General features: G+C 37.6%; 1 protein-coding gene and 1 long non-coding RNA gene across 3 annotated transcripts in view; one reads left to right on the top strand and one right to left on the bottom strand.

The window, feature by feature from the left end:
• The window catches only part of MEGF10 (multiple EGF like domains 10), a 231,923-nt gene that overhangs the window by 1,810 nt on the left and 210,653 nt on the right, over positions 1–19,460 (top strand). Inside the window, exon 2 of one of the 2 annotated variants that reach the window (XM_017009987.2) lies at positions 865–1,020. In XM_017009987.2, the coding sequence (XP_016865476.1) occupies positions 929–1,020 (92 nt within the window). In that variant the 5' untranslated portion in view covers positions 865–928. Of the gene's footprint in view, positions 1–864; positions 1,021–19,460 lie in introns of those variants that run through there. The other variant, XM_011543694.1, reaches the window with a different exon arrangement.
• LOC124901057 (uncharacterized) lies at positions 1,015–4,671 on the bottom strand. Its single transcript, XR_007058923.1, has 3 exons — positions 3,038–4,671; positions 2,641–2,731; positions 1,015–2,420 (listed from the first exon to the last, which is right to left on the bottom strand). It is a non-coding gene; the product is annotated as an uncharacterized LOC124901057 (long non-coding RNA).

Consider the following 19,460-nt stretch of genomic DNA (forward strand, 5'->3'; position numbering starts at 1 on the left):
CCCTTCTCTCTCCTGAGTTTATGCAGTAGTCTCCTAATTGATATTTCTAATTCCACTCTTCACCCTGTAGTCATCGTGATGTTTACAAAAATGAAATGGTTTCATTCCTCTGCTTAAAGCACATCAAATAAATCTCATACTCTTAGATTAAAATCGAAACTCCTCAGCATGGCTGCTAGATCCTCCATGAGCTCATCCTTTTCTGCTGATCTTGCTAGGGTCCCTCTCTTCTTCCTGCTCCCTGCTGTTGCCACATGGCCTCCTTCCTGTGTCTTGGGCATATTAGGGATGTGATGCCGGAAACACTCTTTCTTGGAATCTGGTTAGCACCTTCCCATCCATCAGGTCTCTGCTTAAATGGCAGAAAAGCCTTCCCTGACAGCTGCACTCCAAGTGACCCTGTAAAATTACTCTATCACATCAACCCCTTTATTTTCTTCATAGTGTTTATCACCATCTATAATCTTCTTGATAATCTGTATACTTTATCCACTAGAATGTAAGCTGGGGATTTCACTATGTTGTTCATTACCACTTTCCAAGGCTTAGACCAAGGCCTGATACATAGAAAATACTCAAAAATATTTGTTGATTGAATAAATGACCAAATGAGCTTAGGCTTCTTGATTCTAGGCCAGTGCCCCTTCCTTCATTAGCCCAGTATGATATAGGTGTGTGACATACTTGGGAGACGGAAAACAGAAAGGTCGCCTCCAAAGGCTAGTAGAATCAGGAGAATGGAGAATGTGGAAGAAGAGAGAGAGCCTAAACAGACTGAGAAGCGTGGGAAGGGAGAGCAGGGATTAAGTCTGGACTGTGGCCTGTGACAAGATCTCCAGTGAATATTTCTTGATTTATCCACAGACACTGTGATGGAGTTTATTACACATAACAGCAAATTCCAAAGCAGGAGTGGCAGCAGAAAACAATGAAGGCAAAGGAAGTAAGCCCGGGAAGAGAAAGCAGTTTTTGGACAACAGTTCCTTCACCTCAGCATTTTTCATGGATTTCAAATAAGTGGTAACAATATTTTTATTTGCACATTTTCTTTGAAAATAAAAATGATCTTATTGATTTTCAAAAAGGAAATAATCAAAGCATATGTTTATATTTTTCTTGCTATTTTATCTTATTTACAAGTGTAATGGTTACCATTCAGGTGAGGTGGCATATTCTGAAGCATCCAGAAGCTTTCTCTCCAACGAAATTATCTTCCTCATTTTGCTTAAATTTTACATAAGTAGCTGAATGGAGCTTTAAAGTGCTGACAATCAAGATCAACAAAGGCTGAGAAGTTACTACATACAATCCTGTGATCCCTGAGCATGATACATAGACTTTGAGAACTTTGAGGACAGGCTCTGTGCTCTGTTCAGTTTAGTGTCCTAAGGTCAATGGCATATGGTGTTATGCTAGGTACTTGGGAAACAGTCACTGTCTTTAGGATGCTTAGTAGATGTTCAATAAATGTTTAAGATGTTGGGAGGAGCAGATGTGAAATGATAACAAAAAGTAGTACAGGGTAAATGTCCCAAGAGAAGTACAAAACTTGGAGATGTAAAGGAGGAAATTATGGCTTTTCAGAGGGGTCAGGGAGAACCTTATGAAGGGCAAGTATTTGAAGATAGAAAAGATGGGCACTTATTATTAAATGGATGAATACAAGCATTAAATTGCCAAAGGACAAAAAATTCCAAGCAAACACAGAGGCAGGAAAGCATTGCGATTGTAGGATTCAAGCAGAGGAAGAAAAGCGAAATGTCTGGAGCAGCAGGTTGAGGAGACTGTGCTGTTGAGGCCTTGGACCCCAGTAGATGTGAGGAGAGTGTGCTGGATATTTCTGTGAGCCTTAATCCCACCTTGCTGGAGGTAAATTTAATTTGTCATTTGGGTGTTCTCTCTTCTTCAGTCTCTCAGAGACTTTGTGGTTCCTTAAAACACAGGAGAATTGCTCCTAATTTTTGGCTCATTATGGTGGCCCTATTGTTGAAGTTGTCATGAACTGTTGAATGGCAGTGACTCTGTTTCTCTGCTCTTCTTGGCCTGCAGGCATCTTTCTTCACAATGGAAGCCCTGTTGCCAAGGGTACAGCCTCCCTAGCTTCACCACACAGTTAGGCTCCGCAGAATCCTTGTCTTCTTCCCCAGGTTCTGCTAGAAGTAGGACACAGGCCCCTTGATGATTGTGGAAACCACCACACCTTCCTGGTATAGGGCAGTAGGGCAGTCTCCTTCTCTCCTTTGTTACTTCTGCTTCTACCTGTGTTCCTCCAGCATAATCCACTTCAGGAACCCAAGCTCTTGAAGACCAGGACACAAGCAGGTGTAGTAGGTCATTTGCTTTCAAGCTTCTGCCACAGACTTCCCTGAAGTAAGGCGGCAATTAGCCTGGCTACTTGCTTGGAATAGGAGACGAAAACACTGGCAATAAAAAGCACAAATTAATAGTTCAATAAATCATCCTTCATATGCTTAACTGGGTGGACAGTGAGAAGGCACTTAAGGTTAATGAATAATAGTATTCATACTTTATTATTCACTTTTTTTCCCATTAGATTAAGAATGGAAAGAAAGATGAAAAGCAAAAAGAAAGCACAGTAGAGGATGCTAGAAATTGGAGATTTGGAGTATACAGTCTTACCGGGAGCTCATTTGTCATGGCCAGCTTAACTCTGGGCTGCCCACTTCCTTTTTTCCTTCACTTCGTTTAATCAAGGCTGAAGCAGGTGGCCCTAGTAATAGGGTTGAGAGGTTTCCTGTTGCATCTAGGTGGGAATCAACTTTTCATTTATTCCTGGACATTACATTAACTTTGAAAGCTATCTGTGGGGATTTTTTAGCTGAGACCATTTTCAAATAGGCCTTCTGCGTAGGGAGAAATTCACTAGGCCTCAAGTAACAGAAACCCAGAAAAAAAGTGACTTAAAAAATTAGGGATCCAATTATTCTTATTTACATCTGGAAGCAGAGTCAGGGCTCATACTGAGGATTTGTGAAGCCCCCAGGATCCTCCTGTATTTACGCTCAGTAATCCTTACCATGCTTTTGGGGCCTGGTGGTCACAATACTGTGGCTCCACCTCCAACACGATGTATCTAGGAAGGAAGAAGGTATGCACAAAGCATCCAGTCACTTGAGTCTATGTGCCTTTTAAAGAGCTTCCACAGAAGTTTCATCCTTTGACTTTCACTTGTATTTCATTGGCCAGAACTGTGTTCCATGGCCATTCATAGGTGCAGAGTGGGTGGGGAAATAAAGTTTTCAGCTAGGCACATTGCCACTGAGAAAAATTCAGGTTGGTTTGTAAAGAAGAAATGGATATTGAATAGACAACTAACAGTGACTGCCACATTCTGTACCATTTTGTCCTTTTATCCAAGTTAATGTGCCTCCTGGGAGAGCAAACCAAATTTTAGCGAACATAAATAAATCTTCTATCAATGCATCTCTCCTCTATGCATCCACCAAAATGAATCCACCAAAAAGAAATAACTTTTGTATTGGTATCTCATATTATGCATATTATAATTTCCCTCCATTCACATAGATCATACTGAATTGATTATATTTAGGGATTCATAAATGTCGTTATTTAGAAAGCTCCCTATAATGGCCAGTTCTTTGTTAAGTGTCTTTTAGTGCTTTCTTCTTCTCTCACTTTTTACTTTTCTATGTGGGCTATCATCTCATCTATATTGGTAGTTCAATAACAACTTATTTCCAACTTCCATATCTTTTTTTTTTTCTTTTTTTGAGATGGAGTCCCACTCTGTCACCCAGGCTGGAGTGCAGTGGCACAATCTCGGCTCACTGCAACCTCCACCTCCCTGGTTCAAGCAATTCCCCTGCCTCAGCCTGCCGAGTAGCTGGGATTACAGGCGCATGCCACCATGCCCAGCTAATTTTTTTGTATTTTTAGTAGAGATAGGGTTTTACCATGTTGGCCAGACTGGTTGCGAACATCTCACCTCAGGCAATCCACCCGCCTTGGCCTCCCAAAGTGCTGGGATTACAGGTGTGAGCCACCGTGCCTGGCCTCCAACTTGCATATCTTTATGAGCCAGTTATTGCTTATAACTGCATTGTCCTATACATCCAACTTTATTCAGAATAAGAACTAGTTTCACAGATGCCTTAAATTCAAATACCCAAGGGATCTTAGTGTCTTTCTCTCCCAAGCTTTTACCTCCTTTGTGTTTATTCACCTCGGTGAGCACACATGCCCACGCCAGAAACCTGTGAGTCATTCCTGAATCTTCCCTTATGTTTCTTCCTCCCTACGACCATTTGATGTTTAACGTTTTGTCCAGATAGTGTACTGAATATTCTCAAATGTGTCCTCTTCTCTCTAATCCATTGCTACCCCTTAGGTTTACCTAGTTTGGACTAGTTGTTTTTAGCTATTTGTTGCCATATGAATAGCTGTCTGTTAGATTTCTTCAGTAACTGCATGTCATCCAGAATCTGCAGCTCTCTGCGGTAATTTTTATATTATCGTGTTTTCATTTGGATGATATTTTAAAACATGAACAATTGTGGATCACCTCAATGGCTTCCTTGGAGCTGAGTACTGACAATTGATTTTGGTACCTGCACCAAATCTGTCTCCTGCATGGAAATCTGTCTCCATACAAGTGATGTCATCATTCACATTGAATTAATAAATTAATTTGAATTGTATTGTTTTTGTTAGTTTATACACATTTTTATAGTTGCAAAAGAGCTATAAGCATAAGATGCTTGCACTTAATTTTATATCTAAATAACAATATACTAACAATATTTAAGTGGAGTTTTGGCTCTAGGATAATTTATCCTTTTAAAGAGGGTGCATATATTACTGAAGTGGGTTAGCCCAGGGTCGGCAAACTTTTTTTTTTTTTGAGACAGAGTCTCGCTCTGTCACCAGGCTGGAGTACAGGGGTGCGATCTCGGCTCACTCCAACCTCTGCCTCCAGGGTTCAAGTGATTCTCTTGCCTCAGCCTCCCAAGTAGCTGGGACTACAGGCACGCGCCACCATGCCCAGCTAATTTTTGTATTTTTAGTAGAGATGGGGTTTCACCATGTTGGCCAGGATGGTCTCCATCTCTTGACCTTATGATCTGCCCACCTCAGCCTCCCAAAGTGCTGGGATTACAGGCGTGAGCCACCAGGCCCAGCTAGCAAACTTTTAAGGTAAAGAGCTGGATAGTAAATATACTAGGCTTTGGTGGCCATATACACTCTGCCATAACTATTGAACTCTGATGTTGAAGCATGAAGGCAGCTGAAGACAGTATGTAAACAAATGAGTATGGCTGTGTTCAGTACAACTTTGTTTACAAAACCAGGCTATATTTGGACTCCATGTACAGTTTGCCAAGCCCTGGTCTAGAGAAGACACTCCAAATCCTTTGGCTTGATGTACAGTGTGTTCATCTCTCTAGACTCATCTCCTACCCAGTATTCTGAGCATGCCCTGTGCTCCAGCTGGACAGAACTACTTCTATTTCCCAAGGACGTCACCCTCTCCCACTATTCCATGCCTTAGCAAATGCTTTCTGAGATATCCTTCCCTGTCTTCTTAAACTTACTGTCTCCATCTCACTCTTTAAGATAAAATTTAAAAACTGCCTCCTCTTGGAAGCTTCTCTGGCCCTTTGAACTGAGTTTATGCTTCTTTATACTTGCTCTGTACTCCCAAAACATTTTTGGGAAACTTACCTATATTACAATTGGGCATTTACTTGATTATTTGTAATCAAGATTAGAACAGTCTGCTGTTCTAGACAGTCTCCTTGAGAGAACTGAGAGAATCCTTTCTTTCTTTTCTGCAGCTCAAGCTGCTGTACCTGTTGCCCCCAGATTTAGGGAGTGATGGAGAGAACAGAAGGAAATAAGAGAGAGTATGAATTCCATATTGACTTCCTATTTACCCAAAGAAACTAAGAAAGAAATCCCAGAAATGTCTGCGTTTTCCTTGAATTGGCAGTAAGATATTTTTCCATTTGTGGAAGTGGGTCTTGTGATCTAAGTCAGTTTTTAAAAAAAAAGGGGGTTTTATGTTTGCACATCTGGGTTTTGGGACTGTAAAATTCACGCCTGTTGTAGAAGTTATTTAACTTCGGCCAGGCGTGGTGGCTCATGATTGTAATCCCAGCACTGGGAGGCCAAGGTGGGTAGATCACGAGGTCACGAGTTCAAGACCAGCCTGGCCAACACAGTGAAACCCTGTCTATACGAAAAATACAAAACTAGCTGGGCGTGGTGGTGGGTGCCTATAATCCCAGCTACTTGGGAGGCTGAGGCAGGAGAATCACTTGAACCCAGGAGGCAGATGTTAGAGTAAGCTGAGATCACACCACTGCACTCCAGCCTGGGCAACAGAGCTAGACTCTGTCTCCAAAAAAATAAAAAAAAGTTATTTAACTTTGATAAATGGTGGGACTTCATTGAAAAATAAGAGAAGAAGAAGAAAAAGAAAACATGCTATGTGTGTTTTGTTTTGGGTATGGGTAGGTAGGCTGAGTTGGGGAGACAATAATGAAAGCCTGGATTTTTAAATCCTACAGCAGGAAGAAGCCCAGACGGGACTGTTTAGGTAAGCAAGCCTGTGAGTGGTAGAAAGGGCAGTAATTTTAAGTCCTGGGCAGGGTGAGATTTGAGGACTCAGGGCCAGGGATGTGGGACTTTCCCTCTCCCTCCACCTCTTTGCCCTTCCCTTGCTTCTCCCTGCTCCCTTCCTCTATTTCTGTCATCTAGATGTTTCTACCCTATGGTGTCTTCTACTGAATATTTGGGAAATGTTAATGCTAGTCATCTAACTGTTAAAATCAAACTCTTTTACCCTATGTAGTTCTCATTAAATGATGTTGATGATTTTATACAAATGTGTTGACATTTTACCATATTATGTTTTTAACAGGGTATAAACTTCAGACTATATATATATATATATATATATATATATATATATGTATATACTGAGATGGAGTCTTGCTCTGTCACTCAAGCTGGAGTGCAGTGGTGCAATCTTGGCTCACTGCAACCTCCACCTCCAGGGTTCAAGCAATTCTCCTGCCTCAGCCTCCCAAGTAGCTGGGACTACAGACATGCACCACCACACCCAGCTAATTTCTGTATTTTTAGTAGAGACGGGGCTTTGCCATGTTGTCCAGGCTGGTCTCGAACTCCTGAACTCAAGTGGTCTACCCACCTCAGGTTCCCAAATTTCTGGGATTACAGGTGTGAGCCACCATGCCTGGCCTCAGACAATATTTTTTATATATTAAAAAAAACCAAGGTCTTCCTTTAGTCAACACATGGAGGTTAGTGGTCCTTCTCTGGAAACATTACCATCATCATCATCATCTCATTGACAGCTTGTGGTTGCCAGGCACTGCACATGTAGCAACCCAGTGTTGACACCAGCCATATAGGAAGAGTTCTGTGACATCCCATGTTACAGATGTGGACAGAGAAAGGTTAAGTAACTTGCCCAAAGTCACACGGGTGGGAAGTGGCAGGGCGGTCTGGCTCCTGAGGTGATGTGCTTCACCTCCACACTTCACTTCTTCTCCAGATTCTAATTCCCAAACTTACTAATATCTTCTAATTGCTGTAGGATATTCATCCCCCATCCGTGTCTATTTATGATCTATAACCACCTTTTGTGAATACAACCAATAAAGTTTTGTCTGTATAAATGATCTGTGTAAATGTCTCTTGGTATTAAGATGGCTCATGAGGAAATAGAAATTATATTTTGCAGTCCTTGTCTGGTTTCCACAGTAATGGATTATGTCTATAGGATATGAACTCAATAGGTTAGAAAAGTGAAAGAATCATCATCAGTAATGGTACAACTGACATCATGTGGCTCCTGAGGTGATATATTGAGAAGGACAAACATCACCTATGCGATAGTACTGCCAAAATGTTTCACCTCAATCTAATCATGAGTAAACAATCAGACAAACACACATTAAAGGACATCCTGCAAAGCCGCTGGCCAGGACCCTTCACAGGCATCAATGTCATGAAAGACACAAACGCTGAGGAACGCTTGAGATTGATGGAGACTAAAGAGACAGGATAACAAAATAAATGCATTAGCATTATTTGGATCCTGGATCGGGGGGAAAAAACAGCTATACAGGATGTTATTGGAACACATGGGAAATTTTGAATTTGGACTGTAAATTAGATAATGTTAAAGTTCCTGAGCAATAATTATATGCTGGTTGTATAAGAGAATGCCTTTGCTCTTAGGGGATAGATGATGGAAGACACACACACACACACACACACACACACACACACACACACGGGAGAGAGAGAATAAACACAGTATATATATATATTATATATAAAATATATATATATATAATATATATACACACACACACACAGTTTTACATGTATATACTTTATATATATATAAAGTTAACAAAATGTTAACAATGGATCTAAATGAATGTTAAATGGATGATTGTTGTAGTACTCTCATGACTTTTCTGAAGGTTTGAAATGTTCATAATTTAAAAATATATCTGGGAGTAGAGAAAGATTGGGAATATAGATCAGGCAAGATTAGGCCAGCATTGATTGTTGTTGGCGCTTAGGGTTGAGCATATAGGGGTTCATTAGATTATTCTGTCTACTCTTTGAGATGTTTGAGATTTTTGCCCAATAAAGAGTTTTTAAAAAGGAATGATTTAGTCAGATTTCCTGCTGCTGACTCTCAATAAATGTTTGATGAGGATAAGCTGCCATGACAGATGACTTCTCTACCTGTGTCTTACCCTCATCCTTACTTCTACCCAGCCCCAGCTACTATTTTCCCTTGCCTGGACCCTGACCCCATCCCCCATTTATTATCCAGCCTGAAGCCAAGGTGATGTTTTTTAAAATGCAAAACTGATCACACAAGCCCTGCCTGAAACCATTCAAAGTCTATCGAGTATTTTAGGAGGAAACTCCTCACTCACAGGCTCCTTTCCCTGGGTTCTGGCCTCAGGGCAGTTTTAGGTCTCTTATTCTTGCCCCAGTCTTCCCTACACCTATGTAGAGGCTTGTCCCTCAGACCAGAATGCTGTTTTCCCTCTTTATCAAGTCAGGGCTTATTCATTCTTTAAATATCAGTTCAATATCACTTCTTTATGAAATCCTTCCCTGGTCTATTTGCTTAGCATGAAGCCCCAGCATGGGCCTGGTAGCAGGTCCATTTCTCTGGTAACATCCTAGTTGGAATTATAATTCTCTGTGATTGGCTGATGCCTTCCTCTAGGTTGAAAGCTCTCTGATGTCTCTGTTTTGCTCATCATTGTATCCATAGAAGGTGCTTGATATCGACACATAATTTCATACATTTTTAACTATTTTTTTCACTAACATTATTTAGAATTTTTATCTTCATAGAATTCCTTTGTACTTATCTTCAAAAGGACAGGTGATTGTCTCCTGAAGCTGAATTTTAGTTCTTAAATTGATGTGATCCCCTCTGACAATATGGAAACATTATTGTCATAATGCTCCTTGAAAAATTGGTTAAGTCACTTGGCTTCTGTTTCCTTTCACAATCAATATGACTTCATGCAAAATGATGCAGCAGTTCACATCATTCTGTCAGCCCCTATGAAGGAAATATTGTTTTCTAAAATTAAAATTGTGAATCAACTCACAGGAGGATGTTGTCAAATAAACAAAGAATCATCACTTATATTACACTGCCAAATTTTTGATAAGCTTAATTCCTCCAAATGCATTTAACTTTAATGAAGAATAATACAATTTAATAACAACATAAAATGGAATAATTTATCTTTCCAGACCTAGACATTGGGCAGATGTCTTCTGCTTAATAAGTTGTGTCAAAATGCAAAAGATTTTTTCTTCTCCTTCAGATTTATCTCTCCTTGTTTTTATATATGTGGCTTGGGCAATGATCTATATGTACATATTTAATTAAATCACTCATCAGGCTATATAGTGTTTATGGTTGCACATCTCTGGGATTTGTTGTTTCAAGTTCCCGAGGCACTGATATTTATATAACCCAATAAAATTTGATAATTATTAGTGTATTTGTCAAGATTATTTCAGTTGCAAGTGACATATAACCAAACTCAAATTAACTTAAGCAACAAAGGGAATTTACTGCCACATATAACTGTGGAAAGCAAAGGTGGAGGTTGGTTTCAGGGACTCAGATGAGGTTGACAGGGGTGTCTCTTCATCTCCTGGCTTGCTTTGCCCTTTGCTACTGTCATTCTCAGGTAAGCTCTCTTCTTATAGGTAACAAAGGAATGTTCATGAAGCAACACAGTAAGTTATTCATTGATATAGGGTGAATTTTGGATATTTACAGATGGGGTGAAAGGCTCCAGCTGAGCCTAAACTGGGGTTTGGATTGTGCCTGGGTGTCAATTTATGTGATATGATTTTTTGGTGGGGGGCTTAAAGAGAGGATTTGTTATAAGACTGCTGGGAGAGGGGCAAAATGGGGAGGCATTACTTGGTGCTATGTGTTCCACCATGGTTCAAGGACTATTAGTTTGGTGCAAAAGTAATTGTGGTTTTAGCCATTAAAAATTACCTTTTTGAGCTTCTGTGGAAAGTAGAGCTATAACAGAGAGTGAAATAATCACTTTTTATGAAGAATTTCATAAATTTTGAGGGGATTGTACAGTTTTGGTACATTAGGGTGTGATAGCTATAAAATGCTTCCAGGAAGCAACAGTGCAAGACAGCACAGCATCTCACAGGGAGGCACTGAGGAGCCCAAAGGCTATAATTTCCCTCTTGAGCACCCTCTGGAGACTCCAGAGCTGCTTGGGTCCCTATGGTATGGTGCCAGAGAGTGGATTTTAGAAACAGTAGATATAGCTCCTTGTTTATGGGAGATGCTTCCACTTAGTTTTATAGGGATAGATTACATGACCCCAAAAGGTTACGTACAGGGAGGGGAACAATGCAGAACACACTGTCATTATGAAATCAGTGAATGAATGTGAAGATACAAAGAAACAAGGTTTGTGTGTTGACAAATGCTTCAGTTTGATAAGACATACAACAGGCAGCTTATGTAGAAAGCCAGTGGCATTATCATAGGATGTTTCTCATTTACTGCCTATAAGGAAGTCATGTCGTTGCTCTGTAAAAGCTTGCAAAGATAGCACCAGTACTAGAAGAACCATGTCAGTCATGTTGCAAATATCTGAGCAACATTAAGACTTCTTACATTGGGAATACTCTTCCTATATAACCCCTTCTCTGGTTAAAAGCATTAAAAAATTTTAAGAGGTATATATAATGAAATTGCAGGGATTTATACATTCAAATCAGTGATGTGGTCTGCAAAAGGTAAGTATAAATTGTAATGTAGGTAAAATCCTCTATTACTTTTGTTTGTATAAGTTCGGATCTTAAATTAAACTGCTGCTAGCAGAATGCTCATTAAAGTGGATTTAAAATTCCAAATGAAAAGTTATTGATTTCAAAAAGGGTAAACACAACTAAGCCTTTAGAATCATCTGAAGTTATTAAATTATCAACTTAGTTACTGTTTTTTATTTTTTTTTAGTAACTTGATTGTTTATTAGGTAAACTGCATAAGGTAAAACGTTTGAAATGGAACTGAAAGATATCAGCCAATAGTTATTTTCCACAGACATTTAAAAATGAATTGTTTGCTGAAAAATGGTGATGGGTTTTGATCTCCGTTGCCCCCAGATTCCTGGACCTCACAAAAAATATAGCCTACTTTATGTCTATTTGAAGGAAAGATTAGGATGAGGGTCAGATGATAAATTTTTAGCCACAAGTATCTAGCCAAAAGAGCCTGACTTCGCCCTATCACATTTCCCATGTATGTTTATGGACTGTACCATTTAGGTATTATAATAAAAATTTTTATCTGTCCCTGGAGGCAAAACTGAGTTATATATTAAATGGCTATTTTCTTTGTTTTCTGCTTAGGTATGCATGTAATGTGGTAGCATAATATATATTCCACACTTGTTTCATTCCTGCAGAGAGATAATATTTTTGCAGCTGACAGAGTAAAGACATCCTGTGCTTCCAGAATAAGAGAGAACATATTGTCAGGATAAAATACAGATGTTTCCATTGTTTTTTCTACCTCGTGGTTGTTTTCAGCAGAGGTTAAATTTCATGGGCATATTTCCCTGTCCTTGTTTGGGCAGTTGGACACAGAAGTTCATAGTAAATTCAGGACTATTAAAGATGGTTTCAAGGAATGTATTTCAAAATGTTTTTAGTAGGGGAAAGTAAGTAAAAAATTTATCCCTCCCAAAAAAGCTCTCTTCATAAGAATGTTGAAATTTAAATAACTTTCCTATTTCTCTGTAAGGAAGGAAGTTGAGTATGTCCAATTTTTCTTTCTTAAAAAATTTATTTTTCTTACGTGAGAAACAAATACAAAGTTTCTTTCATCACAGTCTAGAAAAAATAAATGGAATCTTTTGTAACAAAGATGGTATCCTGATTACATCTGATGACTTCCTCTTTCCTATTCTAGAAAGAAATAATCCAAAACATGTAAAAGGGTTATAAAAAGGTCATTTGTGTATCATCATCAGAAACTTTTTACCTATATCGATGAAGCTCAGGAGTTTTAGTTGGAAATGCTAGAGGTGGTAGTAAATGAGGGGGTCACTAATAAGCCACTGTTCACATTTTGGCTGTTCATGCTGGAAAAACAAATTCTTCAACTGTAAAGATAAGAGAAAAATCACCAGTCAAAATCTAGAGACCAAAAATATGTCTTGAAAATGAAGAGAAGAGTAACTATAAAGCATTCTTCTGCTGGGCATGGTGGCTCATGCCTGTAATCTCAGCGGTTTGGGAGGTGGAGGCAGGCGGATCACCTGAGGTTGGGAGTTCAAGACCAGCCTGACTAACATGGAGAAACCCCGTCTCTACTAAAAATACAAAATTAGCTGGGCATGGTGGTGCATGCCTGTAATCCCAACTACCTGGGAGGCTGAGGCAGGAGAATAGCTTGAACCCAGGAGGTGGAGGTTGCAGTGAGCCAAGACTGCACCATTGCACTCCAGCCTGGGCAACAAGAGAGAAACTCTGTCCAAAAAAAAAAAAAAAAAAAAAATTCTTCCAGAATGTAGGGCATAAATTTCAAGAACTGGCAATTTAGAAGACAGTCAAGAGGCAGGAAAGATGAAAGCAAAAGAAATAGTATTATTGGGCTATCGTGCCACTGCACTGCAGCCTCCAGCCCAGGTGACAGTGCGAGACTCCGAAAAAAAAAAAAAAAAGAAAAGAAATGGTATCATTATCACAGGAGTTCCAGAAGGAGAAAACTGTATGGATGAATGAAAGCAATAGCCAAAGAAACAGAAGAAGGCATTTTTTCCAAGTTGAAGAATTCAGTCTTCACATAGAGAAAGCTTACTGAAGACTGGGCAGGCATAATGAAAAAAAGCCATATTCAGGTGGTTCACCATATTCTGGATAAAGAACAAATGCTAGAAGCAGCCAACTAGGAAAAAATGTCACCCCCCACCCCACAAGTTTAAATGACATTGGACTTCTTATTTGCAACACTAACATTAGAAAACCTGAGAGAAAATGTGTGACTTCTGAAGAAAAGAAATTATGTTCCAATAATTATATACTAAACCAAGCTATTGTCAAAATGCAAGGCAAATCAAAGCCTGGTTCAGATTTGCAAGAATTCAGAAATTGTATGACTCACGTATACTTTTAAAAAAACAAAAAACAAAAAAACAAAGTATACCTTTAAGAAAAAGCTAATCAAAATAAAGAATTTTAGAAATGTAAAGACATGTTTAAAAAATAGCAGTGAGCTGCTCAAGGAAATAGGAGAGGACACAAACAAATGGAAAATCATTCCATGCTCATGGATGGGAAGAATCAATATTGTTAAAATGGCCATGCTGCCCAAAGTAATGTATAGATTCAATGCTATCCCCATGAAGCTACCATTGACTTTCTTCACAGAATTAGAAAAAAACTATTTTAAATTTCATATGGAACCAAAAAAGAGCCCGTATAGCCAAGACAATCCTAAGCAAAAAGGACAAAGCTGGAGGCATCACACTACCTGTCTTCAAACTACACTACAAAGCTATAGTAACCAAAACAGCATGCTACTGGTACCAAAACAGATATATAGACCAATGGAACAGAACAGAGGCCTCAGAAATAATGCCACACATCTACAACCAACTGATCTTTGACAAACCTGACAAAACACAAGGAATGGGGAAAGGACTCCCTATTTAATAGATGGTGTTGGGAAAACTAGCTAGCAATATGCAGAAAACTGAAACTAGACCCCTTCCTTACACCTTATACAAAAATGAACTCAAGATGGATTAAAGACTTAAACATAAGACCCAAAACCATAAAAACCATAGAAGAAAACCTAGGCAATACCATTCAGGACATAGGCATGGGCAAAGACTTCATGACTAAAACACCAAACGCAATGGCAACAAAAGCCAAAATTAACAAATGCAATCTAATTAAACTAAAGAGCTTCTTCACAGCAAAAGAAACTATCATCAGAGTGAATAGGCAACCTAGAGAATGGAAGAAAAGTTTTGCAAACTATCCATCTGACAAAGGGCTAATATCCAGAATCTATAGGGAACTTAAACAAATTTACAGGAAAAAAACAACCCCATCAAAAAGTGGGTGAAGGATATGAACAGATACATCTCAAAAGAAGACATTTATGCAGCCAACAAACATATGAAAAAAAGCTCATCATCACTGGTCATTAGAGAAATGCAAATCAAAACCACAATGAGATATCATCTCACGCCAGTTAGAATGGTGATCATTAAAAAGTTAGGAAACAACAGATGCTGGAGAGGATGTGGAGTAATAGGAATGCTTTTTCACTGTTGGTGGGAGTGTAAATTAGTTTAATCATTGTGGAAGACAATGTGGCGATTCCTCAAGGATCTAGAACCAGAAATACCATTTGACCCAGCAATCCCATTACTGGGTATATACTCAAAGGATTATAAATCATTCTGCTATAAAGATATATGCACATGTATGTTTATTGTAGCACTGTTCACAATAGCAAAGACTTGGAACCAATCCAAATGCCCATCAATGATAGACTGGATAAAGAAAATGTGGCACATATACAACATAGACTACTATGCAGCCGTAAGAAGAATGAGTTCATGTTCTTTGCCAGAACATGGATGAAGCTGGAAACCACCATTCTCAGCAAACTAACACAGAAACAGAGAACCAAACACCGCATGTTCTCACTCATAAGTGGGAGTTGAACAATGAGAATATATGGGTACAGGGAGGGGAACATCACACACCAGGGCCTGTTGCGGGGTGGGGAGCAAGGGGAGGGATAGCATTAGGAGAAATGCCTAATGTAGATGATGGGTTGATGGGTGCAGCAAATTACCATGGCACATGTATACCTATGTAACAAACCTGCACATTCTGCACGTGTATCCCAGAACTTAAAGTATAATTAAAAAAAAAATGGTGAGCAATGAAAACTTAGATTTAAGTCTAAAGAGTAGTTTGTAATGTGGTTGTGAAACTAAGTGAAATTTACAACAATAAATTTTGAAAAGATATACATATATAAAATTTAGATTTAAAACATATATTTTATATTTACATAAAATATTTATAAATTATATTTATATATAATTTATAATATTTATAAATATTTAAAATAATAGATAATATATACTATTACATATAATTTATAAATGTTTAAAATAATATATACTATATAATAGTATATATTATACAATAATATATACTATATAATAGTATATATTATACAATAATATATGATTATATTATATATAATAAATAATATATAATAATATATGTATAAAAAGAATATATATATATATATATATATAGACACACCATACATACATAAATGAATGACCTAAAGTTCCCTGGAGGTGTGAGATGAAGAGAGAGGTAGGGAAAGAGGAAGTAAAGCATGATAGTTTTCAGCTTGAAAAAGAAGGGTCTATATATGTTTCTGGGTTCTTAACATTGATGGAGAATAAATTAAAACATGTTTTACAAAATTTTAGACAAAACAAATTTTAAATGAGACCATTAGAGGAGAAAAAAAAACTCACAGAAAGTATTATTATTCCAAAAGACAGCAAAGTGTGTGTGTGGTTGGGGGGTGGGGGAGAGAGAGCGAGAGAAAGAGAGAGAAGAAGAAGAAGAAGAAGAAGAAGAAGAAGAAGAAGAAGAAGAAGAAGAAGAAGAAGAAGAAGAAGAAGAAGAAGAAGAAGAAGAAGAAGAAGAAGAAGAAGAAGAAGAAGAAGAAGAAGAAGAAGAAGAAGAAGAAGAAGAAGAAGAAGAAGAAGAAGAAGAAGAAAAATTTAAAGAATCTATGAAGTAAGACAGAAGGAATAAAAAGCTCATGAATTTGATTTATCTATGCAACTTTATTTACAGGCCATAATGGAGTAACTGCTGTTGGATTTACCCTCACACTACAATGAAAGAAAATATGTAAAGTGACCATTTTAGGCATTGGAAAATTGGCAGTGTAGGATTAGAGTCTTAGAGAGACAGAAATAACATGAGGCAAGCACCACATTTTATATCTGGGAGCACTTTCCTGAATGTGGGGCACAGAGAAATGGAGACCAAGTGAAGATCATTAGTCTGATTGAGCTGAGGGGGCAGAAATGGTAACACAGGGCTCTAGAGAAAGCTGGAATTTGCAGGGTAGGATTCCAGAGAGGGAGAAGCAGTAAAGAAGAAAAGTCCCAGAAGTCTGTGTAGATATTCTTCTTAGCTTTTTGGCTGAGAGCTGGTGTGGGCTTTACACGTCAGGTCGAGATTCTGCAAGACCTCCCAATTCTGAAAAGTAGAAGCTGCAAAGGAGCTAACAAAGGAAAGGAAATGCCAGAGATCTGCACTGCTAAGAGATATTGCAGTCTTAGCCCAGCTATAATGGAAAGACTTCACCATATGCGTCAGTCATTTAGTTGAAACCACTCTATAGAAACAAGGACTATGATCATATCTAGGGATTTAAGTAAAAAAGGGGTATAGCCTAGCCCAAACAAAGCATAAAATGAAGCCTGAAGGATCAAGAGAATGAGCCAGTTGTGTAGTTGCTGGCCAGAACAAAATATTATACTTTTAAAAGGGAGGCAATATAATCCAAACTGTGTATAATAGATCATTTGCAACATTTTATGTGCAATAGAAAATTACTATAGAGGCAAAGAACCAGGAAAATATGACCCATAACAAAGATTTAAAAAAATACAATAGAAAGAGATCCTGAGATGATTCAGATTTTGGAGTTAGAACACAGTTTTTAAAACAATGTTTATACACATGTTCAAAGATTTAAATGAAAACATGAATGTAATGAATGGACAGGTAGGAAATCTCAAAAGAGAAAAGCAGGGTATAAAAAATACCTAACTAAAAATACTAGAAGTAATAATTTCCCTCAGTGGCTCAAGAGGAGATTGGATAATGCAGAATAAAAGATCAGAGAATTGAAAAACACAATGATGGAAGATAACAAAATGGAAAAACAAAGAGAAAATATATTTTAAAACATGGATAGAGCCTCAGAATCTTGTGGGATAATATCAGTTGTCCCATATGTAGGGAAGTCTCAGAAGAAAAGGGAAAGGAGAATGAATCAGAACTATTCCAAGAAATAATAACGAAAGGTGAACTTGGTGAAAAAAAAAATCAATCTGCAGATCTAAAAACACCAAAGCAGTATGTCTTTTAAAGTATTCTTCAAGATTGAAAAGTAAAAAAAAAAAAATTTAAATTAATGTAAACTGAAACTATTTGTCCACAATAGCCATGGTACTAAAAGAAATGCTAAAGAAAGTTCATCAAGCTGAAGATAAAACTTAGAACTATAGGAAGGAATGAAGATCATTGGACATGGTAAACGTGGGCAAATATGAATAAATTTTATTTTCTCACCTTTAAATTTCTTTAAAACATAATTGACTGGTTCAAGCAAAAATAATAATGCGTTGTGGCTTGGGTACTGTGTTGTGGCATTTCTAATATATGTAATAGTAAAAATGACAATAGCATTACAAATTGGGTGGGGTAAATGGGATTCTACTGTTGGAAGATTCTTATATTCTATGTGAAGTGTTACAGTATTAATTAGAAGTAGACTGTGATAAGTTAAAAATATATACTATAATCCCTGGCGCAATCACTAATACATACACACAGAGAGAGAGAGAGAAGAAGAAGGAGGAGGAGGAGGAGGAGGAGAAGAGAGAAATACCCAATAGAGATAGAGGCAATAAAATAGAGTACTAAATCATATTTCATTGATTTAAGAAGGTAGAAAAGGACAAATAAAAGAAACAAACATACAAACATGAGATGGAACAAATAGAATATGAACTGCAAGATAGTAAAATTAAAGTCAACCATTTAATTACATTGAATGTAAATGTACTAAATATTACAATTATGAGGCAGAGATTATTGGACTGGATATAAAAACAGGAGCCAACTAAAAGCTGTCTGTAAGAAAGTCTCTTTAAATAAAACCACACAGCTAGGTTGAAAGGAAAGACATAAAAAATTGTGGCTTATTCTGTTTTGTGCTGTGGAATCCCTGAGACTGGGTAATTTATAAAGAATAAAAATTTATTTATTGCCGTTTTGGAGGCTGAGAAGTCTAAGATCAAGGCAGCAGCAGGTTTAGTGTCTGTGAGGTTCTGGTCTCCAACTCCAAGATGTCATCTTGAATACTGCATCCAACAGAGGAGGCAACACTGTTGTTCACATGGCAGAAGAGTGAAAGGAGGAATGCAAATTTACCCCTTTATGGCAAACCCACTCCTGTGATAACAGCGTTGATTCATTTATGAGGGAGGAGCCCTCATGGCCTAATTACCTCTTAATGGTCTTACCTCTTAATACTATTAAAATGGTAATTAAGTTTCCAACACATGCTTTTTGGGGGCCCATTTAAACGATAGCAAATATATACCATACAAATAGTAACCATGAATAAAACTTATGTGGCTATGTTAATATTGGGCAAAATAGACTTCAAGATGAGGATTGTTACTATAGATTAAAAAAACTTTCATAAGAAAGATCAGTTTGTCAAGAAGAGACAGTAATCTTAAACGTGTATTTACCTAATAACTATGTTTAACATCATTTCTGGCACATAGGAAGAATACATTAAATGTAGCTATTATTAATACAAGGATGACTCAACACAAGAAAATCCATTAATATAATTTACTATATAAATAGATAAAAAAAATTTATGACATTTCAATATGGGCAAAAATGTATTTGCTAAAATTCAATAATCATTTGTGATTAAAAACAAGTAAACAATAAGTGTTGGTAAGCTAGCAATAGAAGGAAACTTCATTGAACTAATAAAGATTAGCATAAAACAAGAACAAACACCATGTGTGATGTAAATC

This window comes from Homo sapiens, chromosome 5 (genome assembly GCF_000001405.40).
Source record: "Homo sapiens chromosome 5, GRCh38.p14 Primary Assembly".
Lineage (NCBI taxonomy): Eukaryota > Metazoa > Chordata > Mammalia > Primates > Hominidae > Homo > Homo sapiens.